Genomic DNA, 25,333 nt, shown 5'->3' on the forward strand with positions numbered 1-25,333 from the left:
ATGGCGCAAGCCTGTAGTCCCAGATACTCGGGAAGCTGAGGCAGAAGACTCTCTTGAACCTGGCAGGCAGAGATTGCAGTGAGCCGAGGTCATGCCACTGCACTCCAGCCTGGGTGACAGAGCAAGAATCTGTCTCAAAAACAAAACAATTTTTTTTTGGCCCAGTGTGGTGCCTCACACCTGTAATCCCAGCACTTTGGGAGGCCAAGACAGGCAGACTGCTTGAGCCCAGGAGTTTGAGAGTAGCCTGGGCAACATGGTGAAAACATGTCTCTACAAAAAAATTTTAAAAATTAGCCGGGCATGGTGGACTAGAAGGAAGGAAGGACTTTATCAGTGCCTGTGGTCTCAGCTACTCTAGAGGCTGAGGCAGGAGGTTCCCTTGAGTCCAGCAGCTCAAGATTACAGTGAGCTGTGATCATGCCATTGCACTCCGGAGTCTCACTCTGTCATGCAGGCTGAATGCAATAGCATGATCACGGCTCACTGCAGCCTTGACCTCCAGGCTCAGGTGATCCTCCCCTCACAGCCTCCTGAGTAGCTGGGACAGGCACACTCCACCATGCCTGGCTGATTTTTGAAGAAACATTTACAGACATAGGGACTTGCTGTGTTGCCCAGGCTGGTCTCAAACTCCCAGCCAGAAGCAGTCCTCTTGCCTTGGCCTCCCAAAGCATTGGGATTACAGGTGTGAGTCGCCACACCCATTCCACCTGAACTCCTAGATCTTAACTATTACATCATTCTGCCCTTAACCACTAGGCTACACCATCATCCTCTACCAATGCTGAGTTCAGTTTTGGAAGTGTTGGTGTTTAGATACCCATAGGCCGTCTACTTCATTCCATTTCTTTTTTTTAGCGTCTCACTCTGTCGCCCAGGCTGGAGTCCAGTGGCACGATCTCGGCTCACTGCAACCTCTGCTGCTTCCTGGGTTCAAGGGATTCTCCTGCCTCTGCCTCCAGAGTAGTTGGGATTACAGGAGACTGCCACCATGCCTGGCTAATTTTTGTATTTTTAGTAGAGACAGGGTTTCACCATGTTGGCTAGACTGGTCTTGAACTCCTGACCTCGTGATCCGCCCATCGTGGCCTCTCGAAGTGCTAGGATTACAGGCATAAGCCACTGTGCCTGGCCAACTTCATTCCATTTCTGCCCTGGGCTTTTTTTTTTTTTTGAGACAGAGTCTTGCTCTGTCACCAGGCTGGAGTGCAGTGGCTCGATGTCAGCTCACTGCAACCTCCACCTCCCGGGTTCCAGCGATTCTTCTGCCTCAGCCTCCCGAGTAGCTGGGACTACAGGCGCACGCCACCACATCCAGCTAATTTTTGTATTTTTTTAGTAAAGACAGGGTTTTGCCATGTTGGCCAGGATGGTCTTGATCTCTTGACCTCGTGATCCGCCTGCCTCGGCCTCCCAAATTGCTGGGATGACAGGCGTGAGCCGCCGCGCCCGGCCTGCCCTGAGCCGCCGCGCCCGGCCTGCCCTGAGCTTTTGCAACAGGCTCCAGTGGTCTCCGTGTCTCTTTCCTTATTCCCCTCAAATCATTCTCCATATTGCAGCCAGAAATTATATTTTAAAACACAATTCTAAAATGTCACTGTCTCCCAAAACCCTTCAGTAGTCTCCCACTGCTCCTAGAGACTGAAATGTTTACCTGCTTACAAGGCAGGGGTTGGCCCCTGAGCACCTTTGCAGCTCCCTCTCTAGATGGATGAAAGTCAGGCTCCCTAACTTCCACCTTCCTCTCCATGTTCCAGCATGTTCTCACCCAGAGCCTCTGGGCCTTTTGTCCTCCTCACTGGAATGCTCCTAGAGGTTTCTCTCCCCTCACAGCCACCTAGTTTACTCAGGTTTTAGAGCCCAGCAAGTCCAGTCTACTCAGTTTTCTTTTTGAAGTTCCTATAACTTCAGTTCCTTTATTTAAGTTTGAGGTTGTACATGTCTTAGTATGCTTATTTGATTACAGTTAGTCTCCCCGCTAGACTGTGAGTGCCCTAAAGGCAGGAACCTTGCCCATCCCCTTTACCACTAGCACCGATCAAAATGCCTGGCACAGGGAGGCGCAATGAACAGCTGTTGAACGAGTGACTTCCAAATCGACAGCAAAGGGGGCGGCTGGATAGCGAGTCGCCCGCTCAGGAGAGATTCTGGGTCGGAAATAAAGATCTGGGAGTCATTTATAATTCCAACCAGACGAGTAGATGGGCTGGCCCAAGCGGTGTGTAGACTGAAGAGATTCTAACTCATGCAAGATAAGCAGCTACGTGGCTCACGGTCACGTCGCAAAAAACCTGGGGGCTCTCCTCCGCCTGCTTGTGGTCCCGTACAAGGCGCTTCCCACCCTGGGTCTCTGAGCCCAGTCGGTGAAAGACGGAAGGAGACCGATTCACAGCCCCAACAGCGCCGGTGATAGTCCCTCTGCCACCCCTTTCCCTCCGCTGCCCTCCCCTCCCCTCCCCTCCCCTCGATGACTTCCTCCAACAGCTGACGAAGCTGGATCCCTGGGCACCGCCTCTTCCGTCCGCGGCACCCGGAGACGCCCGGAAATTTGCGGGCGCGCCGGAAGTTGAGGGGAGTTTCCTGCGAGCTCGGCTTCCTCAACATGGCTGCGCCCTTGTCAGTGGAGGTGGAGTTCGGGTGAGTCACAGAGCTGGGGCGCCGTGGGGATGGATTGAAGTCGTCGGGCCCAGAATTCCTTTCCTTCTGCCGTGGGGCCTGACACGGCCGAATCACTGGGTGTCCCAGTGCCCGCTGTGAGCTACGCTACCCGCCTAGGAGAGTCTGAGAGGCCAGTCTCTCTTGGCAGTGAGGCCGTCTGTCCGGAAATAGAGGCGCACATTGGGAGGGAAATGCTCTCTGTGTACCACTCGGTGCCCTGTGCTCCGCCGGAGTCGGAGGTCGTGACTGTTAGCAGGCAGCCTCTCTCTCTTCTTTTCCATTCCTATCTCGGACCAATCCCATCTGTTTGGCATCTGAGCTCCTAGAACCTAGAAGGACCACCCTCCACCCGCTGATTTCATTCTTTGGGCAGCAGTTTCTTTTTACACTGTTATTAAGGTCTTGTTTCTCGTGGGATGTAGTGGCCAGGGCGGGACTTTTTTCTTTTTCTTTCCTAAGACTTGGGGATGGTAAACAGACCTGAGCCTCCTTCAGGACAGTCAGTAAACTTGCTGATTGCCTTCTGCAGAACTGGAGTCAGGTGGAGACACGGGGACAAATAAGAAATCACACTGAAGGGAACTAACAGGGACAGTATAGTATACACAAGATGAAAAATGCAGAGATTGGGACACACACCAGTTACTGAAGAAACACAGAGCAGGGAGGAAGTCTACCCAAGGCACTATTTGTGCTTCCTACAAACAGGTTTGTCATATGGTTTCAAAGCTGAGGGAAACTGCAGAGCTTAGAGAGAAGGCAAAGAAACAGGCCTTGAAAGATGGGTGGTGTACTTTACAGTATCACGTGGAAAAGAGGAAATAGGTAGGGATGTGTGTGTGTGTGTGTGGAATAGGTAGGTGTGTGTGTGTGCCTGTGTGTGTGTAGATAAGCCAAGGTCTATGTGACAGGAAAAGTCTGGGATGGGAATCTAAAACCTCTGCCCAGTGCCTTTCTTCTCATTGGATGCCTCCCATTTCTTTCATGTTTTCCCTTAATTGGGTAGTTCATTCACCAGCCATTTATTGAGTGCCTACCATGTGCCGGGCAGCAAGCCAGACACTGAGGATACAAAGATAAATAGAAGTCTGTCCGTGCCCTACAGCGTTCAGCATTTCTGCCCCTTAGAAGGGGGGTAAGTCTCATGACTAAGTGCATTTTAATTGATATTGTCTGGCTGCTTGGATCCAATTAGAACTGTATTGGTCTGGACTCCTCACTGTTTTGCCTCACTGACCCTTGGCCCAGCTACACTCCCCAAAGCCTGGGATTCTAGGAGGATCCCTGCTTCCTTGACAGGCCTCAGCAGAGCTGGAAAGAGAGAAGCCACAGACTGCTGTGTTAAGATTTATCTGGGCCAGGCATGGAGGCTCATGCCTGTAATCCTAGTACTTTGGGAGGCTTGGGCAGGAGGACTGCTTGAGCCCAAGAATTCGAGACCAGCCTTGGCAACATGGGGAGACTTCATCTCTACCAAAAAAAAAAAAAAGAAGATTTATCTGCAGACAACTTGCCTTTCATCCTCATGAGTCAGACATGGTCTTTGTTTATCAACAATGTCTCTGCTAGGTACTGTGCTAGCTCAGTGGGGAAGTCATGTGAGGAAGATGGGGCCATTGCTCTCCAGAGCTTACAAACCAGCACAATTGCCCTTTTTCTGACCCAATCATCTCTAACTTCAGTCTCCCTTACCTCCAAGAGCAATAATGACCCCTGGCAAGGCAGGACAACATTCCTCCACCCACCCACCCACCCACCCACCTTCTATCACCTCCTGTCACAGCACAGCGTTCCATGAAAATTGCAGCATTCTCAGGAATGCCCAACATGATGCTCAACCCAGGTTCCTTCTCTCTTTGTCCTTGTGTTGATGCACGTTTTTGCCCTGACCTTTCTTTCATTTCCTATGTATCTTAGCAGACATGATTCACCCTTATCCAGAACTGGAGCAAATTTGCAAAGGCTAACACGCCCTTCATTTTCTCTCTTTTGTCCCTTAGTGGCCCCACTCCCACTCCAGTTCTGGAAGGGTCTCCCTCCTGAGCAGATGTAGTCCTCTTGGCCCCACCAGCTCCTCCAGAGACCCTCTGGAAGGCCTCTAACACCTTCCTTCTTGTCAGTGACCACGTCTGCCACCCTTTGTCTTCCCCCTGAATTGTTCTCAGCAGAGCGTTTTCTCAGGTCACGCAGGATTCAAAGTATGTAATATAGTTGTGTTTTGTGTCCCTGTGGTCCATGTTGTAAAGGCCCAGATATGGAGTTCTCTCCGTCCCACCCCTCTTCCTCCTTCCCAAGTTGGGGAGGTATTGGCAAAAGGAGGGAATGTCATTGAGGTCAGAGAAGAACTGGGAGAAATGGGCATTTCCTTTCCTTTAGCAGATATTTGTTGAGTGTCTACCATGTGCCAGGCCCTGTTTTAGGCAGAGCTTGCAGCCCAGCAGGTGGAGAGGAAGTAAATAAACAAAATATATATATACGTGTATATGTATGTGTATATACAGAAGATTAAAAGATGAAGATACATCAGAAAAGGTGAAGGTGGTTTTGAGAATATCTATACCTGTCACTGGTATCTACAAACACATCCACCAAGAATTGGGGGGGTTGAAGGAAGATGGAGATATGTCAGTTGAGTTTGAATAGCAGATCTTATAAGACATAAGAGAGTCTGGCCTTGGTCTCTCCTGGGCTAGAACAGGCCCCTTGTCTGCCTCCCTGAATCACTCTTGAGGCTGGGCATGCACCTTCCCCCACTCCAGATGTGCTGACAGCAGAAATGCCAACCCCTCCCTTGAGGGCCAGTGAATTCAGCAGTGACAGGTCACTCTCTGAGCGAGACTGGTTCTCCCTTCATCCGCTTGTAAAGGGAAAAACAGCCTCGGCCTCTGAGCCTGGCACCACCAGGTTTGGCCAGTCTTGGTTGTTTGCCTAAGTCCCAGTGCCTTCAGTTCCCATCCCTCTTCTCTGACCCCCAACTCCTGAGCCCCTTGCCTGTCACCCTCCCCCACCCCAGCTGCTGCATGTGCCAACCCCCCACCCAGGAGAAAACGAGGCTCTTGGAAGGGAATAAATGGAGGCTCTGTGCAGGCTTGCAGCTGAAATGGCCCTGTGCGCGGCCACAGATGGGCCTCCTCTCCCCCTCCACATTTCTGCATCAACAAAGCGTGACCTTGTTTGGATGACAGTCGCCCCATGTTTTCCCCATGACAATGCTTGCCTTGCCTTTGCCTCCCAGCGGGCTGTCTCAGGACATCTCTGTTCCCTGAAATTGGGAAAGGGTGGTGGGGTGGAAGACATCTCATTCTTCAAAAGTCTGGTGAGGCCTTTTCAGTTAAGATCCACAAGAAGTCTGAGATGGGAATTGGGAGACCCAGAGGGAGAAGCAGCATGGGGCGCTGAAAGAGCCCTGGCGCTCATCTCAGAAGCCTCAGCTTCTGGACTTGGCTCCAATCATCTCTGCAGTCCCCGCCTTCCCTTGGCCAGGTGCTGGGACACAGAAATGAACCAAACTCTGCCCTCAAGAGGCTTTCTGACCTTTGGGAAGTCCTGTTTTTTTCTGACCAGTCTGCTGGTGCTAAGCAGGAATCAGTTAGACTGAAATTATAGTTCAGCCCCTGCCTCTCTAACCTTGGACAAGTTGGTTGCTTAACCTCTCTAGGCTTGAGTCTGCTTTTCTATCAAAGTGAGCAAATAATATCTACCTCCTTCCTTCTTCCCTGGGACTCCCTGAGGATGAAATGAGATGAGGAACATCTTATAAATGGTGAGGCGATGTGAACAGTTGTTCTTAGTTGATGCCAGGCCTCATGGACTCTCTCAGCCTCCAGCACTGTGATGTACCCACCAGGTCAGCAGCAGGTGGCATGGGCAGGAGCATTCAAACCATCATCTGGCCAGAGGAAACCCCTAGATGCACAGGGTCTCCAGAGTGCCTCACAGTGGCTCCCCAACATTTTTCCAGATGGAAAGACTGAAGCTTAAGATTGAGTCAAGGCCAGGCATGGTGGCCCACACCTATAATCCCAGCACTTTGGGAGGCTGAGGCAGAAGGATTGCTTGAGCCCAGGAGTTCAAGACCAGCCTGGGCAATAGAGTGAGACCTCACTATGTTATAAAATATTTTTAAATTATTATTAGTTTTGAGATAGGGTCTCACTGTGTCGCCCAGGCTGCAGTACAGTGGCATGACCTTGGCTAACTGCAGCCTCAACCTCCCAGGTTCAGGTGATCCTCCCACCTCAGCCTCCCAAGTAGCTGGGACTACAGGCGCACACCACCATGCCCACCTAATTTTTGTAGTTTTTGTAGACACAAGGTGTTGCCATGTTGCCCAGGCTGCTCTTGAACTCCTGGACTTAAGCAATCCTCCCTCGCCTCTCAGCCTCCCAAAGTGCTAGAGTTACAGGTGTGAGCCACTGTGTCTGGCCCCCAAAGTATTTTAATAACAAAGAAAAAAGAAGATTGAGTCACACATCTAAGGTCTCAACATAGGGAGAGGTGGAGCCTGGGCTTCACATCGGGGCCGGCAGCTCCAAAGGCTGTGTTCTGCACCTGTGTGGTAAGCTGCCTCTCTAGAAGGCAGAGGAGTAAAAACAAGAGTCGGCAAATTTGGGTACTTGATTTTTTTTTTTTCTTTTTAAATAATTAGAGACAGAGCCAGGCATGATGACTCACAACTCTAATCCCAGCACTTTGGGAGGATTGCTTGAGCCCAGGAGGTCAAGACCAGCCTGGACGACATAGGGAGACCCTGTCTCTACAAAAAATAAAAATAAAATTAGGCAGGTGTGGTGACACGTGCCTGTGGTCCCAGCTACCTGGGGGCTGATGTGGGAGGTTTGCTTGAACCCAGGAGGTTAAGGTTGTATCAAGCTGAGATCACGCTACTGCACTCCAGCCTGGGTGACAGAGTGAGACCTTGTCTCAAAAAATAAATAAATAGGCCAGGCACGGTGGCTCACGCCTGTAATCCCAACACTTCGGGAGGCTGAGGCAGGTGGATCACGAGGTCAGGAGTTCAAGACCAGCCTGGCCACAATGGTGAAACCCTGTCTCTATTAAAAAAAAATACAAAAATTAGCCAGGTGTGGTAGCACGTGCCTGTAATCTCAGCTACTCTGGAAGCTGAGGCAGAGGATTGCCTAAACCCAGGAGGCGAAGGTTGCAGTGAGCCAAGATCGCACTACTGCACTCCAGCCTGGGCGACAGAGCGAGACTCTGTCTCAATAAATAAATTTTTTTAAAAAGTAAAATAAAATAATAAAAATAGGCCAGGCACAGTGACTCATGCTTCTGATTTCAGCACTTTGGGAGGCCAAGGCAGGGAGATTACTTGAGCTCAAGAGTTCGAGACCAGTCTGAGCAACATGGCGAAATCCCATCTCTACAAAAAGTACAAAATTAGCTGAGTGTGATGCCATGCACCTGTAGTCCCAGCTGCTTGGGGGTCTGATGTGGGAGGATTGCTTAAGCCTAGGAGGTCAAGCCTGCAGTGAGCTGTGATTGTGCCACTGAACTCCATGCTGGGTGACAAAGCAAGACCTTGTCTCAAAAATAAATAGATAATAATTTCCCGGGTGCCTAATGATAATAATAATTACATAGAGACAGGGTCTTGCTATGTCACCAAGGCTCTATTTCACTGAGGCTCATCTCAAACTCCTGGCCTCAAGCAGTCATCTCGCCTTGGCCTCCCACAGTGCTAGGATTCCAGGTGTGAGCCACCACACCTAGCCGGTACTTGATTATTAGTAAAAATTATATCCTACCTTGCCACATTAGAAGTCATATTTAGGAATTGGTCACTGGGTCTGGGCAGAGTGGCTTGTGCCTGTAATCCCAGTGCTTTGGGAGGCTGAAGTGGGAGGATTGCTTTAGGCCAGGAGTTTGAGATCAGCCTGGGTAACATAACAAGACTCCATCTCTACAAAAAATTTAAAGATTAACCTGATATGGGCCAGGCGCGGTGGCTCATGACTGTAATTCCAGCACTTTGAGAGGCCAAGGTGGGCGGATCACCTGAGGTCAAGAGTTTGAGACTAGCCTGGCCAACATGGTGAAACCCTCTGTCTAAAAATACAAAACTTAGCCAGATGTGGTGGCTCATGTCTGTAGTCCCAGCTACTCGGGAGGCTGAGGCACGAGAATCACTTGAACCTGGGAGGCGGAGGTTGCTGTGAGCTGAGATCACACCACTGCACTGCAGCCTGGGCAACAGAGTGAGACTAAACAGAGTAAAATAAAATTAAATATAAACATAAATATTAATATAAAAAGTAGCCTGATATGGTGGCATGCACCTGTAGTCCTAGCTACTTGGGAGGTTGAACAGGAAGGTCTCTTGAACCCAGGAGTTCAAGGTTACAGCGAGCTATGATTGCACTGCTGCATTCCAGCATAGGCGACAGAGTAAGAACCTGTCTCTAAGAAAGAAAGGGGGAGAAAAAGAATTAGTCACTGCACCCAAGGTGTTTCTGCACCTTAGTCTCTGCTTCTCTCGGCCTTCATTACCAGCCCTATCCTCAGTTTTCTGTTTCCGCTACCTCTTCCTATTTGCAGGAGCTCACCTGGCTGTCTTTTTCTCTGGTCCTCCTTTGCAGAGGTGGTGCGGAGCTCCTGTTTGACGGTATTAAGAAACATCGAGTCACTTTGCCTGGACAGGAGGAACCCTGTGAGTATTGGCTTTCTGAACCCCTCTCTTGGGGCCATTGAACAGGAGTTGGTCCATGGGGAACACTCAGCCCCGTTCAGGCCTGTGTTCTGCATCCGTGTGCTAAGCTGCCTCTCTAGCAGGCAGAGGAATAAAAACAAGAGTCTACACGGCTGGGCCGGGTGGCTCATGCCTGTAATCCCAGCACTTTGGGAGGCCAAGGTGGGTGGATCACAAGGTCAGGAGTTCGAGACCAGCCTGGCCAACATGGTGAAATCCTGTCTCTATTAAAAATACAAAAATTAGCTGGGCATGGTGGCGCGTGCATGTAATCCCAGCTACTCAGGAGGCTGAGGCAGGAGAATTGCTTGAACCGGAACCTGGGAGGCGGAGGTTGCAGTGAGCCGAGATCATGCCACTGTACTCTAGCCTGGGCGACAAAGCAAGACTCCATCTCAAAAAAAAAAAAAAAAAAAAAAAAAAAAAACTTGTTAATCTTTCTTGAACAAATATACACTGAGCACCTTCTGTGTAGCAGACCATGTGCTGATCACTGTGGAGACAGACATGAACAAAAGCCAGTCCCAGGCCAGGTGTGGAGGCTCACACCTGTGATCCCAGCACTTTGGGGGGCCGAGGCGGACGGATCACTTGAGACCAGGAGTTCTAGACCAACATGGCGAAATCCCATCTCTACTAGAAATACAAAAAATTAGTCACGCATAGCGGTGCGCGCTTGTAATCCCAGCTACTCAGGAGGCTGGGGCAGGAGAATTGCTTAAACCTGGGAGGCAGAGGTTTCAGTGAGCCGAGATCGTGCCACTGCACTCCAGCCTGGGTGGCAGAGCAAGATTCTGTCACCAAAAAAAAAAAAAAAAAAAAGAATGAACTTGCAGATCTTTGGCTGGGTAACTGTCAGGATAGCCTAGGGGCTGGGGACCGGATATGGCAGGTGTTCACTGTAACCTTAGCAGTGGGTTCTAGCAAGGGCTCAGGGATGGGATTCCAGTCTCCACCTATGACTGAGATACTTCTGGGGAGAAGAGGGCATCAGTTATATTAAGAGACAGGAAATGAGGTTCCTGGAGGTGGGCGGTAGAAAATGGTCAAGTCAGGCCGGACGTGGTGGCTCACACCTTTAATCCCAGCACTTTGGGAGGCTGAGGCGGGCAGATCACGAGGTCAGGAGTTCCTGACCATCCTGATCAACATGATGAAACCCCGTCTCTACTAACAGTACAAAAATTAGCTGGCGCAGTGGCAGGCATCTGTAATCCCAGCTACTTGGGAGGCTGAAGCAGGAGAATTGCTTGAACCTGAGAGGCAGAGGTTGCAGTGAACCAAGATCGCACCATTGCACTCCAGCCTGGGCAACAAGAGCAAGACTCCGTCTCAAAAAAAGAAAAAGAAATAAGAAAATAGGCCAGGTGTTGGCTGGGCACGGTGGCTCACGCCTGTAATCCCAGCACTTTGGGAGGCCAAGGCGGGTGGATCACGAGGTCAGGAGTTCAACACTAGCCTGGCCAAGATGGTGAAACCCCGTCTCTACTAAAAATACAAAAAAATTAGCTGGGCGTGGTGGCATGCGCCTGTAATCCCGGCTACTCTGGAGGCTGAGGCACGAGAATTGCTTAAACCTAAAGGGGCGGAGGTTGCAGTGAGCCGAATCATGCCACTGCACTCCAGCCTGGGCAACAGAGCGAGACTCCATCTCAAAAAAAAATAAAATAAAATAAAATAAAATAAACCAGGCACAGTGGCTCATGCCTGTAATCCTAACACTTTGGGAGTCTGAGGTAGGAGGATTACCTGAGCCCAGGAGTTTGAGACCAGCCTGGGTAACATGGCAAAACCTGGTCTTTACAAAAAAATAAAAAATTAGCCAGGCATAGTGGCATGCACCTGTGTTCCTAGCTGTTTTAGAAGCTGATGCTGAAGGATTGCTTGAGCCCAGGAGATCGAGACTACAGTGAGCTATGATCACACACTGTTCTTCAGCCTGGGTGCCAGAGTGAGACCCTGTCTCAAAAGAAAAAAAAAATACATAAGCAGAATATGTATGGGGAGAAAAAAAGAAAATGGTCAAGTGAGATTTGGCAGGATTCTTCTGGAACTGGACACACATCTGCCAGGAATCAATTATTATTGCTCAGATTCACTGGCTGCCGCACCTCTCTGTCCCTCCCTCAGGTTGGAGAGCAGTGGCACAGGGTGGGGTCTGTCTGCCACACGTGGAGGCTGGGGGGGGGACACTTACTGAGGAGCAGGTCACTGCCCACATTGAGCTGGGAGGGGATATGTGGCTGGGGTTTCATGTCAGGATTGTGTGTCCCTGGTCGAGGAAGACATGGGGTGCTAAAGGTGACTGTTTCTTAGTTTGACAGATGGCCATGCAGCCTTGGGAGGGCACATGGTGCTCTCAGAAGAAGCTTCTCAAAGATTCAGTCTCAAAGACCTTGCCTGGAAGTTTATTAAAATATCACAAGTTATTATTTATTTCCTGTGGAGTTTGTCTGACATGAAAACCCACAAATTTTCTTTTTTTTTTCTTTTCTTTTTTTTTTTTTTGAGATGGAGTCTCGCTCTGTCTCCCAGGCTGAAGTGCCGTGGTGCAGTCTCAGCGCGCTGCAACCCCCACCTCCTGGGTTCAAGCAATTCTCCCACCTCAGCCTCCCAAGTAGCTGGGATTACAGGCAGGCACCACAACACCTGGCTAATTTGTGTATGTTTTTTTTTGTTTGTTTTGTTGTTGTTTTTGAGACGTAGTCTCGCTCTGTTGCCCAGGCTGGAATGCAGTGGCGCGATCTTGGCTGACTGCAAGCTCCGCCTCCCGGGTTCACGCCATTCTCCTGCCTCAGCCTCCCAAGTAGCTGGGACTACAGGTGCCTGCCACCACGCCCGGCTAATTTTTTGTATTTTTAGAAGAGACGGGGTTTCACCATGTTAGCCAGGATGGTCTCGATCTCCTGACCTGGTGATCCGCCCGCCTCGGCCTCCCAAAGTGCTGGGATTACAGGTGTGAGCCACCGCGCCCAGCCCCAAAGTACTTTATTCTTTCATGTAGTTGGCAAATCTATTTTGAATGCCCTCTTTGTGCCATCACTGTACTAAGTTACTGGATATTCATTAGTGAGCAAAATAGATGTGGTCCTTGCCCTAGTAGAGTTAGCAGTGTAATGGGAGTGGAGCCAGGGAATAAACAAGTAAACAAATGAATGTATAACTGCGTCATTACAACTTTTAGTAACTGGCATGAGGAGAACCAAAGGGTACTTGAATAGGACTAATAGGTGGTCAGCAGAGGTCTCTTTAAGGAGGTAACATACCAAGGCCAGGTGCAGTGGCTCACTCCTGTAATCCCAGCACTTTGGGAGGCCAAGGTAGGCGGATCACCTGAGGTCTGGAGTTAGAGACCAGCCAGGCCAACATGGTGAAACCCTGTCTCTACTAAAAATACAAAAATAGCTGGGCATGGTGGTGGGCACCTGTAATCCCAGGTTGAGGCAGGAGAATCGCTTGAACCCTGGAGGTGGAGGTTGTATAGTGAGCCGAGATCGTGCCACTGCACTCCAGCCTGGGCGCAGAGCAAGACTCCGTCTCAAAAACAAAAAACAAAACAAATAAAAGGTAGAAACCAAAATTTAGAGAAGTCAGGGGTCTCACCCCAAGTCATAGAGTTATTTAAATAGCAGGGTTGGGATTCAGAACTAGCTTTCAGGCCACTGAATTTCAGAGTCCTGGCGCTTTGCCACTAACCCATCACCGTCTATCCCAAGAGGCTCCCTGAATTACTCTAACATCTTACATTTTCCAGTTTTTACGCTTTCCTTCATTTATTTATTCATGAGTTCAACAACTACTTATTTCAACTTTCAGATGACCCCAAGAGATAAGAGACCCCTAAAAGAGAAAGAGAAGGAGGGAGGGACCTGAGGCCTGCCCAGAGTTACCCAAGTAGGGAGGCTGGGCTGGGACTCAGATTTTTTTATCCTTCATCTTCCAGCCACTGTTCAGGGAACAGGCAGGGGCCTATCCCCACTCTGGGAAGAAAGGAGGGGAGTGGGAGGGAAGGCACAATGGCCCACTTAGTCTTTGGCTCCTTTGCTGTGAGTCCCTACACCTGGTTCCTGTTGTGCCCAGAGGCATGGGTCACACAGCAGACCCATGGTAACCTAGGTTGGTGACCTAGGTCACCAACAGAGCTGGTTAGCAGCTGCCAGGCCTCACCCTGGCACATGTGAGCCCAGCTGGGGGTCAGGGGCCTGGTGCTGCTAGGAGAGTCTTACCCTTCCCCCAAGTCCATGCCCAGATATGTCATCTGGCAGACTTCCCAGCCTAGGGGCTGCCACTTGGCCAAGCGAGTCTTGGAGGTTCCAGCAGAAATAATAGCAGCCGTAAGATTTCAGAATGTGACAAGCCTCACAAATGAGGGAACTCGTGGCTCCTAGGCCAGGGGAGAGCTTCCAACCCAGCCAATTTGGGAGAAATGATGAGCAAGGCCTGAGGGAGTGAGACTGCGAGAGAGGAAGCCTGGCACGCGCAGTTGCACATCACTTATTCCTGCCAGACTCTTTCTTCCCTATCTGTAAGATGGGAGGTTGGGCTCGCTCTGTATGTTATTGAGCTGGTTGTCTCTTTGACATCTATAAGAAAAGTTTCTTCAAGATCCAAGTATATACAATTCGGTGAAGCAGAGTGTGCTGACCCAGTAAGAAGTTGTGTGAGAGAAGGGATGTCTTAACAGCCATCTCGCTGAAACGGCCATGCAGGCACCCACCAGCTTAGGGTATTGCGGCTGCTGGGAGTTGGCCTCTGTGATTCAAGCATCCCTTTGACCCAAGGCCCCCTGCCCAGGCCCCAAGTGTAGACATGGCCGCCTCACCTTTCCCTGCCTGTCTTCCCCTGTCCTGCCTTTGTGCCCCCTCTGCCTGCTCCACTTGTGTTAAAGGGTGGCTGGTGAGGGAGGGCAGGAGCTGCAGGAGCTCCTGGGCGCTTTAAACTGCTTAGCATGCATTTCACAGCCTCTCTGGGGCCAGCTGTTCCTTTCTCTGCTCTCAGGGCCTGTTTGCTGATCCCCTCTCCACCTCCCTCCTCCCCACACCCCTCCCAGTCCCTGTGCAAAATTGCTTTTGAAAAGATCCACTTTCTGCTTAATTAAACAATGAGGAGGTCCCCTCGCACATCTGTAAACCTCCTTCTGAGGCCAGTTTAGCCCACAAACTGCTCCATTCTTACCCCCATTCACTTGTAAATGGCCCCTCTGATGTTCCCTCCACCCCCTCTCCTCTGTTACTCCCCCCTTGCCAGCTCTTTCTTTTCCCTTTTCAACTGAGGCCTGGGGTGGGCTCTCCGAAGAGCCGTCTTGGAGCCTGGTGGACTTGGTGGGGACAGAGGCAGTTTAACCTGTGGAAGAGAAGACTTAGGGGATCCTTTCTTCCAAATCTGAAGGGCCATCCTGGGGAAGAGGGGGTGCATTTGTTGGCATGGTCCCCGTGGACCATTCAGGCCCAGTGGGTGGGAATGACAGGAAGACAGATTTCTGCTTGGGAGAAAAGAGCTCTTAACAATCAGAGCCGCTCCACAGAGGAGCTGACCTCCTGTCCCTGGAGGTGTTCAAAGAGAGGCTGGATGAGGGTCTGTTACGCCTGCGAGTCAATATCAGATACGACTTTGAGGTTGTTCCGTTTCAGTCCCACGAGGCTGAGGCTGACACCCTTTGGGGCCCTCCCACAGTGGGCAGTCAGTGTCCCCCAGAATAGGACAAGTCCACCGGGGCGAGGGATTCTGGTGGAGCTTGCGTCGGTGCTCTCCACAGTGGGTATCCTCCCTTTGGCAGCAGCCTTTAGAAGGTACTGGAGCCCAGAGGATGAGGAATCTGAAGTCACTGTGGGCTTACAGCTCAGAGCAGCCATCTGTTGAGCGTGTCCTGTGTGTGTGACACTGCCAGGCCTGCCTTGGGCATTGTGCCTTACGTAATCCTCAGCAGCTCTTGGTGTTTGGATTATTATCCCTGCTTGTCAGAGGATGACACTGAGACAGCAAGATGAAGTGACTTCCTAGCTAAGGCCATCGAGCACACAGCCGAGGTCCTCTGGCTGTAGACTCAGAACTCAACCACTCCAGCATAGAGCAGCAGCTCTCATTGCCTGCTCTGCCCCCGATGGGCAGGCCAGGTGCCAAGGTATCCTGCACTGGAAACCTTGTATTAAGTGCCCATCTCCTTCCTCTGGTGCTGTGTGCCCGGGGGCAGCCTGGCCGCCAGCACCTACAGACTCAGAGTGTCATTCCTACCACCTGGGTTGTACTGGGAGCATTGGCCAACCCCAACATCTTGTGGGTTCAAACATCTAACACAGAAGGAAGGTCAGTATCTAGGACCCCTCACTACTCTCGCAGTCCCCTCATTCCCTTTCCAGCTTCTGATGGGAAGATACGGGATGCCACAGAAAACCCCAGCCGGTCCCAGCACTATCTGATTAATGGTTGGCTCTACCTTGCCCTCTAAAGCTGAGGTGCCAGGCCACTGGGCAGAGCGTGCAGAAACCCAGAGAGCGCGAGGGGTATAGGTTCTTCCTCTGGATCCTGGAGTAATTACAGCATTGATATGCAGGGCACAGTGCTGAGAGCTTTGTATATATCGTCTTATTTGATCCCCCACAATGACCCTATGAGACAATGTTAACATCCCCATTTTACAAAAAAAGGAAGCCGAGGCTTCCTATTACCTAAGGTAATAGAACTAGTAAGTGATGGAGTCCAGCTCAAAACCAGGCCTGTCTGACTCCAGGGTCCATACTCTTAGTCTCTTTCTTCCTCCCTCCTTCCCTCCCTACCTCCCCAGTTGTCCACTCAAGTAATGGTAATGGTAGTGCCATACATTTGAGCTGGATCGTGATTCAAGTGTTGAGTCAGAGACACATGGAAGCACAGGCCTGGGCAGTGGGGCCTGGTTCCCAGGAAGCACATACCTGGGAGATACCGCTGAGGTTCACTGGGAGGGAGAGGCCCCTACGGGAGCAGGCCCGTTCTCAAGGCCTGGCCCCATCTCCTGCTGAGCTTCTTACCTTCTCTGTTCTGCTGCCTTGAACCTGCCCATTCCATCCTGCCCCAGCCTTCCCATGTGTTATCCTTCTGTCCAGAATGCTCCCCACCCCACTCATCCTTCAGACCCGAGCTTCACTGTTTAACACCCTCAGTCAGGCCTCTCCTGATCCCAGATGAAGGAGATAGCATTTGTCACAACTAATTAAGTATGGTATGTCTCCCCTGCTGACCTCTAGCTCCCTGAGGGTAGGTAGCTCTGTTTCCCTCTTGCCCACTACCATCTCCCTAGCATCTTGCACATAGTAGCTGCTCAATAAATATTTTTCTCCTGCATGATCACACGGGATCCCAGGAGGGAGACCGCCCCTAGTAGGAGAGGGAAGACAAGAGGACACAGAGTGGGAAGGTGAAAGTGAGAGTCTCCAGCCCCTATCTATCACAGAGCCATCCATCCCCAAGCCACCAGCCCCTGACTCTGCTTAACCCTTCCTCCTCCCCTGGGCGCCTTTGGAAGCCGACCATCTGGCTTGGAGGCTATTTGCATATTGTCTGTGCCTCAGCAAGCCTAGCAAGATGTCCCTGGGGGTGTGTTTCAGGCCAGGCCGAGTGGCCCTTGCATCCTGCGAAGGGAGCCATGAGTTCCCCCTCTCCCCACCCCCAAATCCAGGCATGGGGGAACAATACGAGTGGCGATGCGGTAGCCTCACCATGGTAACAGGCTATCAAAAATGTGGGCAGGCCTGGGTGGGGGGCGGGCAGAAGAGGGAGGGAGTGACCTCAGCAAATAGGAGCATCATGATAAATGAGCCCGCACTGGGCAGCAGACTCATCCCCCAGCTTGTCCCTCTGGGACTCCATGCTGGTGCCATCGTTTGGATGACTCCACCATGACCACTAGCCCTTCCCCCACCCCCAGGCCTATCCAGAGTGGAGCAGAAGCACCTTCCCTTTGGAGGGAGTCAGGGCTGTCCCCTAATTGAGTCCTGGTTCCATGCAGGCCAGGCACTGCCCAGACCTTCTCGCCGCCTCCACACACACAGGCACACCCCCGCCCGCTAGGGCTGGCTGATGGATGTGTCAGACCCCGGTGGCTCTATCGAGCAGCCACAAGATGTATGGGTTGGCGGCCCACCAGACAGTACCAAGATGGAGGCCAAGGGGATTCAGAGCCAAGGGGAAACCTCTGAAACCCAGACCTCAGGGAGGAACCCAGCCAGGAGTCCAAGTGAGCTGCAGCTAGTTGGAGGCAGCATTTTCCCCATCCCATGCCTGCTCCAGGGACCGTGAAGACTCTGATCTGCTTTGTTTAAAAGGAGACATTAAAATGGAAAGGCGGCAGTCTCAGTCCATGGACACTTTGCCCGTGGCCCTGTGCTTTGCTGGCGTACGATCCAGGCAAGTTGGCACCAAGCAAAGTGGACCATCCAGGCTGCAGGCCTGTCAGAGCGAGGGGGCACGCGTGCCAGCCAGCGTGCCTTAACTCCCTGCCCAAGGCTGGGGCCGTGTGTGCGTGCCACACTGTGGGCCCAGACAGGGCAGAGCAAAGTCTCCCTGAGTCCTAGCCACCTTTCCCTTGCGTACACTCTGGACTCCAGGCAGGAAAATCAAGGCCTCACCTGGGACTTCTCCAGCTTAGCCCTGAGCTTTGTCTCAGGCATTAGTCCAGGACAGCAGACCCCTCTGGACGCTGACTCGGGATGGGGTGCTTAACCCCAACCTGTCTGCTGGCTTCCCAGAGGCGAGTTGTCTCCCTGGGACCTTTATCCTCAAGTCGTCTAAGAGAATGAGAAGGAACTCCTCAGCCTCAGGAGAATGGCCCTGTTTCGGGGGCGGACAGTTGAGGACCATAGGCTTCGAGGTGTTTATAGAGCCACATTTCTGTGTGCTGTGGCCCGATACTGCTGCCCCTAGGAAAGGACAGGTGACCCTGAAGACAGGTGGCTCTGAGCCTCCACATGACATACAAGGAGGCTGGTGGCTCCCCCAGAACCACAAGGAGGCAGATCTCAGTGTTAGCTGAGCTGGAGAGGCCCTGTCACCCGAACCTCTGGCCACCGCTGGCGCGGAGGGCTCTGGAAGCACAGGGTGGTGGCAGGGGAGTGGAGCAGGGATTTGTCAGCATCCCTAGCTGGTGAATGATCCTTCTCTCCCTCTGCCAGAGGAAATTAACTGATGTTATCAGCTCAGCAATTGTTTTTTTCCCCTCACAAAGGGAAATATATGCAGACCCCTCCAAGAGCAAAGCCGAATCCTCCCCATCTGCGACTGGCTGGAGAGATAAAGGTGGAGGGGGCTCTTCAAGGTCCTCTCAGAAGTCCAGCCATGGCAGTTGGAGACTGGCTTCCAGGACTTGTGGGTAGGGGCCTGTCTCCTAACCCTTTAGATGCGACAGTCCTCCCGCCGTCTGCCTTGAATCCCCCCACTATAGGTAAATCCCATTGCCTCTTCTCCAGGACTTCAGCAGTGCCAGGTGCAGCTTTCTCTGAAGATCCACCTGGCAAGTCACTGGCCTGTCCTAACCTGTTTCCTCACCTTTGGAATCTACAAGTTCATGGGCTATCACAGCCTGGTCTAAAAGAAGCCCTCTAAACACCGTGTGTATTTCCTTGTGGGCCAGGCAAGGCTCTGGGGGTGGGCAGGTGCTATTTGGGTTTGACAAGAGTTTGTTCTGTGCATTCCTTTCCAGGGGACATCCGGAACCTGCTCATCTGGATCAAGAAGAATTTGCTAAAAGAGCGGCCAGAGTTGTTCATCCAGGGAGACAGCGTGTGAGTCCCACTCCTCCCTTCCCTGAAGCAGGTGGAGGGAGGGACGGATATTTGAGCCCCCACCCTCGGGTTCAGTCCTGGCCTTCTCTGAATCCGGTTCTCCCCTTCCTCCTCCCTAACTCTTCCAGCTCTGAGATCTGTTTTCAGTTTTCTTGTTACTAAACCGAACTCTTGAGGATTTTTTAAATCCCAGATGAAAGGAGCCTGGTGAATTTCTCAGAAAACTTGGATTCTGCCCTCTGGTTGCCACAGACTTGCTGTGGGACCTTAGGCGACTTACTTCGCTTCTCTGGGCCTCAGTTACTCTCTACACAGAAAGTGCTGAGGAAAAAACGTAGCTAGTACAACTGAAGAGCTAAATATTCTGTTTTATTTCATTGTAATTTAAATAGCCACATGCAGCTAGTAGATTACCATACAGTGCAGCACGGGTCTAGAATTCCAAGGAGTCATTGACTCTGTGCGTGCACACACCCATGCACATGCACACACACTCACTGGGGACACCCCATAGAAGCCCAGTGCAGTCTCCTTGGAAAGGACCAGGTTCCAGTTGCCACGAAGTTACTTCTAAAACAAGGCCAGTCCCCCACGTGAAAGGTGGCCGGTGCAGTTGTGAGGCTCGCTTATTTGCCTCGAAGCATAGGTCACTGTCAGGTCCTAAGGGATCAGGCCTAGGGGATCAGCCCTCCTTCAGGTCATGGTCCAGTGGTCCTGGAGGCCACCTCTAAGGCCAGCAGTGCTCCTTGGGCCATTACCAGTGGGAGCCAGGCTAAGCTGCCTGACCAAATGTTGACCTACCCTGCCTTATGCCAGGCAGGACTGCACGTGAGCATTGCCATGTGGCATGGCAACTGATTCGGAAGAGGCAAAACAGCCTTCTCTCCAGGATGGGCATGCAGAGGCCTAAAAAAAAGCCGAAGTTCTTTTCCAGGGCTAACGAGAATAAGATTAGACCCCTGGAAAAGTCCTACTAATGGTTACCATGACAGTGTGGCAAGCACTCCACACATATCAGCTCATTTCGTTTTCGTATAGGCCTTGTGGGTTAGACAGTATCACTTATCCCATTTTCAGATGAGGAACCTGATACTCAGAAACAAAATGACCTGCCCATGGTCTGGGTGGTGGTGCTGGCTGGCATTTGCACCCATTTTCCATCTGGCTACAAAGACCATGCATGACTGACCTGGTTTCCTTCACACTCAGACCAGCCTCCCCTTCCTGGGATATCTTTAGCCAGACCCCAGGAGGAAGGCTCCTCAGCACACTCTCCTGCAGCCCAAAGCTCTCAGCCTCTCTTCCTCTGTGCTACTGCCTCCTGCCTCTCACTCCTTGCTACTCACCACCATCTTTCCCACAGGCGGCCAGGAATTCTGGTGCTGATTAACGATGCCGACTGGGAGCTACTGGTCAGTACCTTGGGGGACATCCCTCCCCCAGCCCCTGCCCTTGCTGCTTCAGTGGGAAAGCGTTGGGCCTCTCCTCAGGCACATATAGAGTGGCTGGGTAATCCTCCGCCCCACTCCAGCCCCACACTGAGGCTGCTGGAGTCTCCCACTCCAGGTGAGGAAGGGATGGGTAGCTGGGGACATGGGAGTACTCCTCCATCCTGAAGATTTGCAGGTTGAGGTATAGGATACCCATTTTTCTGGTAGAGTCTGTCTCTTCCAGAGCAGCCAGTCCTCAGCCCCTGTTCTCCCAACTCCTGGGGTGGACCTGGGAAGGTGGCCCTGAGGGTCTCCCGCTCCCCTCTCTCCCGCACCAGGGTGAGCTGGACTACCAGCTTCAGGACCAGGACAGCGTCCTCTTCATCTCCACTCTGCACGGCGGCTGAGGGCCCTTCTCTGGGCCTGGGCACCCTTAGAGGGGAGAACGAAGCAATCAGACATCCCCTTGGGCCCTGCTTCCAGGTCTCCCTGTCCCCCTTGCCTGCCTTCTTCCCTGCTCTGTCCCCTAAGCTCCCTCCAGGCAGGGAAAAGAGGCCAGGTGCTAAAAATGAGCCTTTCTCAAGCACGTGAGCAGCGGAAGGCAGACAGGCGCCAGAGCCCAGCACTCCCTTTTCCAGCAGCTGTGGTGGGGGAGGGTTCCCCTCCAGTTTGTCAAGAGTTGAAGGAGGCTCTGTGGCCAGGTGACCTGGCTGCCTTCCACTCCTTGTACCTCAGTCTAAACATGGAGTGGCCGCTGACAAGGCGCTCCAGCCCCAGAGCCAGCGTCTTCATGGGGAAGATGAATGGACCTGAGTAGCTGAAGGAAGGCCCCTCCCTACCCAAAGACTGGAGGCTTCTCAGCCTCAATTTCCCTGTCTGTACAGCTGAGGGCTCTGCCTGTCCCCCACTGCTATCAGTATGGAACCCCAGCTGGGGTCCCCTATTGAGTGCCGACTCCCCCCACCGCCAGCAGCTGCTCCTCCAGCCACACCCCTCCTGCTCCCCCCACCCCTAGCCCTTGACCCTGGCTGGCCTGCCCCGCTCCACAGGCCACCAGATGGGCTCCTGAGACCCTCCCCAGGCTGCTTACAGCTCATTCTGCTGGGGGTAGAGATGAGGGGAGGGAGTAAGTTAAACCTTGGACTAGCAAGTAGAAGCCTGGGGGGATGCGTGTGCCTCAGTTTCCTCCTCCACAACTGAATATAGTGGCTGAAAACTGGGGAGATACTTGATGGCGCGAATGTCCGTTTTCTCTCCCTTCCCACCTCCTGCAGGAAGCAGGACGGGGCAGGCAGCACCTGGTAGGCACAGTGCTTTGCCCCTCCTCCCCTTCCCTTCTGGAAGTCTTGGGGCCTCAGTGCTTGCAACAGCCGGCCTTGGGCAAATAAAAGACTAGGTTGTTTACTAGCCTTGCTTGGAGCTTCATCCTTGGAAACGGGTGGCACCTCATATCCCCCCAGCCGTGGTCTGTGATACAACCTCTCCATCCTCAGCCTAGGGCCTCAGAGCTACCCTTCACCCAAAAGAGGGGTGGGGGTGAACACTCAGACAATCTGAGAGGGGGTAGTCTAATAGAGCCATCTGGAGAAGGGAGTGGCAGAGCCAGTCTGTGCTGACCAGTCTGTGTCCCGGGACGCATCCCCACCCGTCTGTCCAAGGCTTTGTCCCACCAGCTGCAGCCAGCAGCCTCAGAACCCAAAATGAGGGTAGCATAGATAAGACTGCTGAGCCCCCTTTCTGTGGTCTTTCCTTTCCATGACCTAGAGAAAAGAGCTTTGCTGGAGGGAGACCCCCAAAAAGAATTAGGGTGCTAACATCCCACCAAAAGCATCATCCCACCCAAAATGTTGCTTTTCATTCTATGTCAATAATTTAAGGTGGAATTTCTCTCACCCTGTGGAGATGAAAGTGGCAAAAGGTTGTCCCAGCAGTGTTGGGGGATGGGGTGTGCACATCATTCTTTTGGGGGTAGATGACCTGCTGGCTGGTGGGCTTTTCTCCAGGACTACTGCAGGTAGAGACCCTCTGGGCTTGTGTGGAGTGGGAGCAGCCGTGTTGGGACTATGGGGAGGAGCTGGTCTGGGTGCAAATTAAGGCCAGTGTTGGGGTCTGAGTGCTGTCCAGAAAGGCTGTGTGACCAACCCTCACTAGTTCCTGAGGTCAGGGTCTCCATGTTAGGGAACAGAGCAAGAGACTTGGAACAGCTCCCTACAGCTGCACTTCTAGAAGGTCAGCCTGTCCGATTCTTGTAACCTGGAGGTCCCTCCCCATCTGCAGCCCCCTGAGCTGCAGGAGCGGCCCCATCAGTGCACCTGATTGGAACACACTAGATTTCAGGTCCTGGAAACTGGGCGCTAGGATCCGTTTCCCTGGCTGCAGAGAGTGGGAGGTGTGATGTGGAATATCCCTTCTCCCAGCACACCCCAATTAATACTGAAGAGTAGGGCAGGAGGAGGTGCTGGGAAAACCGGGTTTCTTGGCACATGGGGGTGCAAGCACTGTGGTTGAAATTGGCCATGTCCAAGGCACACCAGACGATTTCAGGTCATTTTTAGCCCTAGACTGGAAAGGGGTCAGGGGACAGGTGACCTGGGCTCAGCCCCCAGCAGCTCCCAACTGCCCCTCTCCCAAGCAACTCCTGATCCCTGCTTTTGAGGAAATAAACAAATAAAACCCCGCTATCTCCGAAGATTTTTCTTTAATGAAAAGGATTCGTTTTTCCAAATTCTATTTCCAAAGCCGAGGAGATTGCCGGGCTGGAGCGCATCGTTGGTGACGCTTGCCCGTCGGACCCTGGCAGCGGCTGGAGGAGGCTCAGCCCATCGGTCCGTCCGGAGGGGCTTGCGGGAGGGGTTGGTTTGTTTGGGATTTAGGGGTTGGTTGAGGATTTGTTTTGTTTAGGTAGGGAGTATTGGGGTGATAAGTTAGAACAACTGCGAAACGAGTTAGCGGGCGCATTCGGCCGGCCTCTTCTTTCACCCCCGACTTCATGCGGCTTGGGCTGAGGGCGGACCACATTCGGCCCCGCCGCTGCGTGCCGGCTTCGTTCCGGCCGAAATTTGAAAGGAGGAAAAACGACGCGATCGACTGAAGGACCCTGCCGGCCGGGACTGGTCACCCGCAGAGAAGGAAGAAGGACGAGGATGCGGATGGCGGCGCTGGTGGCAGGGACCGGCGTCTCTGTGCGCGCGGGCCGGGACCGCGATCCTCGCGCTGGGGCCAGCCAGCCGCCGCCCCGAGAGGTCTCGCCCGCGCTGAGCCCTGTCCCTGGGGCCCCCGCCCCTGTTGCGCCCGGAGCTCAGCCACAGATGTCCAGCCACAATTCTCGGTTGGCCGCAGACTCGTACAAGAATTGCGTTTGGACAATCAGTGGCGAAGCCCCTGAGTTCAGGGCCCTGGTCTCCTGCGGGGTTCCCCTTCGCTCCTAAAAAGCGCCAGTCCAGGACAGCTCGGAGCTGCGCGTCGGACCACCTAGCAGGCGCTCAGCAGCGGCTGCCCATCCGGCGGTAAGGTGGACTAGCAAGCACGCGGATCCTGACCCTGTGCGGGGATCCCCATCGCCCCTGGCGTGGCTCCTTCGATCGCGGCCCGGAGTCCGCAGAGTGGCCCGCGTTGGGTCTCAGCGCCGCCCCAGGTCGAGGGGGAATCTCCTCTGTCTGGCCTGGGGAACCCCGACTCCCCTCTCCCTGCCCCCAGCCTGGGATCTCCGGGAATCCGGAAGGCAGGAGCCCCAGGCCGGGTCGCGTTTCCGAGCCCGGGGTCCGGGCTGCTGGATTCGTGGGTCCCCCGCCCCCGCCCAGCCCCGCGCACGCACCGGCTCGGGCGCTCTCCGCTTTCCTGTGGCTGAGTCGCGGCCGGGGCGCCTGCGGTGGCGGTGGCGGCGGTGGCCCGGGCGGCGGGGAGTGCTGGAATGCGCCGCCGGGTCACCTGCAGCGCCCGTGGAGCCGGACTGGGAGCCGGCGGGCTGCCGAGGCGCAAGGCTGAACCCGAGCAGGCGCCTCTGGCGGCTCGGGGCCGGGGCGGGCTTTTAGTGGGCCGCTCCAACAATACGGGCCTGGCGCGGAGAAAGGGGCTCGGCTGCAATTGGTACTGGATTTGAATAACGCCACGGGGCCATCAATGGTCATTGTGTCGGCGGGTAATGAATCTCCGCTGTCTCTCGGGCTGGCCAGGCAGCTGCAACCTGCGCTCAGGCAGCTCTTAAAGACATAGCGTGCCCCTCCCCGGGGGCCGCCTCCCCCTCTGCACCGGCCGGACCCCTCGTCCTCCCACCCCCACTCGGCACCCTCAACTCCCGATGCCCCGCCTGCTCCCTCGGCCTGACCCCTTTGCCCATCGCCCCCTCCCTTCTCCTGGGCCAGGCACCAGCATCCCGGCCCTGCTCTCCCGTGGACCTGACTCAGGCCCCGGCCTTGGCTGAGCTCTCCAAGAGCACCCAGGGCACCCCAGAGTCTTTTACGGCCCACCCCCTGTCTCCCAGCTGCATGGAAACCAAAGGCCTCTGGAGCCCCCTCCCTAGGCCCCTGCCCAGGGGCTTCCACTGGAGGGTGAGGGGGAACAGTCTGGAAGTCAGAGGGTCACCCCCTGAGAAGACCATGCTGAAGGATAAAGGAGAAGGGGGTACAGTCCCCACCCCTGGGCTGAGGATGCCATCCCTGGAGACCACACCCCACGCGGGAGCTGGAGCCTGCCCCCTCCCCCGACCAAGGACCAGAGCTTGATTCCCAGGCTCCAGCAGGCTCCTGGGTACCTCGGGGCTAGCAGCAAGGGTGGGGGGAGGG

General features: G+C 53.4%; 1 protein-coding gene, 1 long non-coding RNA gene and 2 other non-coding genes across 7 annotated transcripts, besides 6 other annotated features; 2 read left to right on the top strand and 2 right to left on the bottom strand.

Moving 5' to 3' along the window:
• Positions 906 to 1,770: an enhancer, noted in NCBI's record as "H3K27ac-H3K4me1 hESC enhancer chr9:131131960-131132824 (GRCh37/hg19 assembly coordinates)". NCBI's record gives its function as "activates a minimal SCP1, AML or CMV promoter by ChIP-STARR-seq in primed H9 embryonic stem cells {active_cell/tissue: H9 hESC(primed)}" and the evidence as "EXISTENCE:reporter gene assay evidence [ECO:0000049][PMID:30033119]".
• Positions 1,771 to 2,634: an enhancer, noted in NCBI's record as "H3K27ac-H3K4me1 hESC enhancer chr9:131132825-131133688 (GRCh37/hg19 assembly coordinates)". NCBI's record gives its function as "activates a minimal SCP1, AML or CMV promoter by ChIP-STARR-seq in primed H9 embryonic stem cells {active_cell/tissue: H9 hESC(primed)}" and the evidence as "EXISTENCE:reporter gene assay evidence [ECO:0000049][PMID:30033119]".
• URM1 (ubiquitin related modifier 1) lies at positions 2,544 to 23,241 on the top strand. Of its 4 annotated transcripts, none has more exons than NR_049743.2 (5): positions 2,599 to 2,640; positions 9,220 to 9,331; positions 19,041 to 19,122; positions 20,486 to 20,534; positions 20,891 to 23,233. NR_049743.2 is itself a non-coding variant. In NM_030914.4 (5 exons), the coding sequence occupies exons 1-5, from the start codon at positions 2,606 to 2,608 to the stop codon at positions 20,957 to 20,959; spliced, it is 306 nt and encodes a 101-aa protein (NP_112176.1). In that variant the 5' UTR covers positions 2,599 to 2,605; the 3' UTR covers positions 20,960 to 23,241. The 4 variants fall into 4 exon arrangements, 3 of the variants coding, with proteins under 3 accessions (NP_001129419.1, NP_001252511.1, NP_112176.1); NM_030914.4 differs by having other exon boundaries at positions 9,261 to 9,331; positions 20,891 to 23,241; NM_001135947.2 differs by having other exon boundaries at positions 2,544 to 2,640; positions 9,261 to 9,331; positions 20,486 to 23,241.
• Positions 2,698 to 2,797: an enhancer, noted in NCBI's record as "active region_29080". NCBI's record gives its function as "activates an Ori minimal core promoter by ATAC-STARR-seq in GM12878 lymphoblastoid cells {active_cell/tissue: GM12878}" and the evidence as "EXISTENCE:reporter gene assay evidence [ECO:0000049][PMID:35858748]".
• Positions 14,359 to 15,003: an enhancer, noted in NCBI's record as "OCT4-NANOG-H3K4me1 hESC enhancer chr9:131145413-131146057 (GRCh37/hg19 assembly coordinates)". NCBI's record gives its function as "activates a minimal SCP1, AML or CMV promoter by ChIP-STARR-seq in naive H9 embryonic stem cells {active_cell/tissue: H9 hESC(naive)}" and the evidence as "EXISTENCE:reporter gene assay evidence [ECO:0000049][PMID:30033119]".
• Positions 16,937 to 17,581: an enhancer, noted in NCBI's record as "H3K4me1 hESC enhancer chr9:131147991-131148635 (GRCh37/hg19 assembly coordinates)". NCBI's record gives its function as "activates a minimal SCP1, AML or CMV promoter by ChIP-STARR-seq in primed H9 embryonic stem cells {active_cell/tissue: H9 hESC(primed)}" and the evidence as "EXISTENCE:reporter gene assay evidence [ECO:0000049][PMID:30033119]".
• On the bottom strand, positions 23,236 to 24,726 carry MIR219A2HG (MIR219A2 host gene). Its single transcript, NR_186569.1, has one exon. It is a non-coding gene; the product is annotated as an MIR219A2 host gene (long non-coding RNA).
• On the bottom strand, positions 23,843 to 23,939 carry MIR219A2 (microRNA 219a-2). The gene has a single exon (NR_029837.1). It is a non-coding gene; the product is annotated as a microRNA 219a-2 (primary transcript).
• On the top strand, positions 23,846 to 23,933 carry MIR219B (microRNA 219b). Its single transcript, NR_039815.1, has one exon. It is a non-coding gene; the product is annotated as a microRNA 219b (primary transcript).
• Positions 24,259 to 24,964: an enhancer, noted in NCBI's record as "NANOG-H3K27ac-H3K4me1 hESC enhancer chr9:131155313-131156018 (GRCh37/hg19 assembly coordinates)". NCBI's record gives its function as "activates a minimal SCP1, AML or CMV promoter by ChIP-STARR-seq in naive and primed H9 embryonic stem cells {active_cell/tissue: H9 hESC(naive and primed)}" and the evidence as "EXISTENCE:reporter gene assay evidence [ECO:0000049][PMID:30033119]".

Source organism: Homo sapiens, chromosome 9, assembly GCF_000001405.40.
Source record: "Homo sapiens chromosome 9, GRCh38.p14 Primary Assembly".
Classification (NCBI taxonomy): Eukaryota; Metazoa; Chordata; class Mammalia; order Primates; family Hominidae; genus Homo; species Homo sapiens.

Coding starts and splice junctions, on each gene's coding strand:
- URM1 (NM_001135947.2), top strand. CDS start 2,606: ATGGCTGCGCCCTTGTCAGTGGAGGTGGAGTTCGG. Junction 2,641..9,260: donor TCAGTGGAGGTGGAGTTCGG/GTGAGTCACAGA, acceptor CCTCCTTTGCAG/AGGTGGTGCGGAGCTCCTGT. Junction 9,332..19,040: donor GCCTGGACAGGAGGAACCCT/GTGAGTATTGGC, acceptor ATTCCTTTCCAG/GGGACATCCGGAACCTGCTC.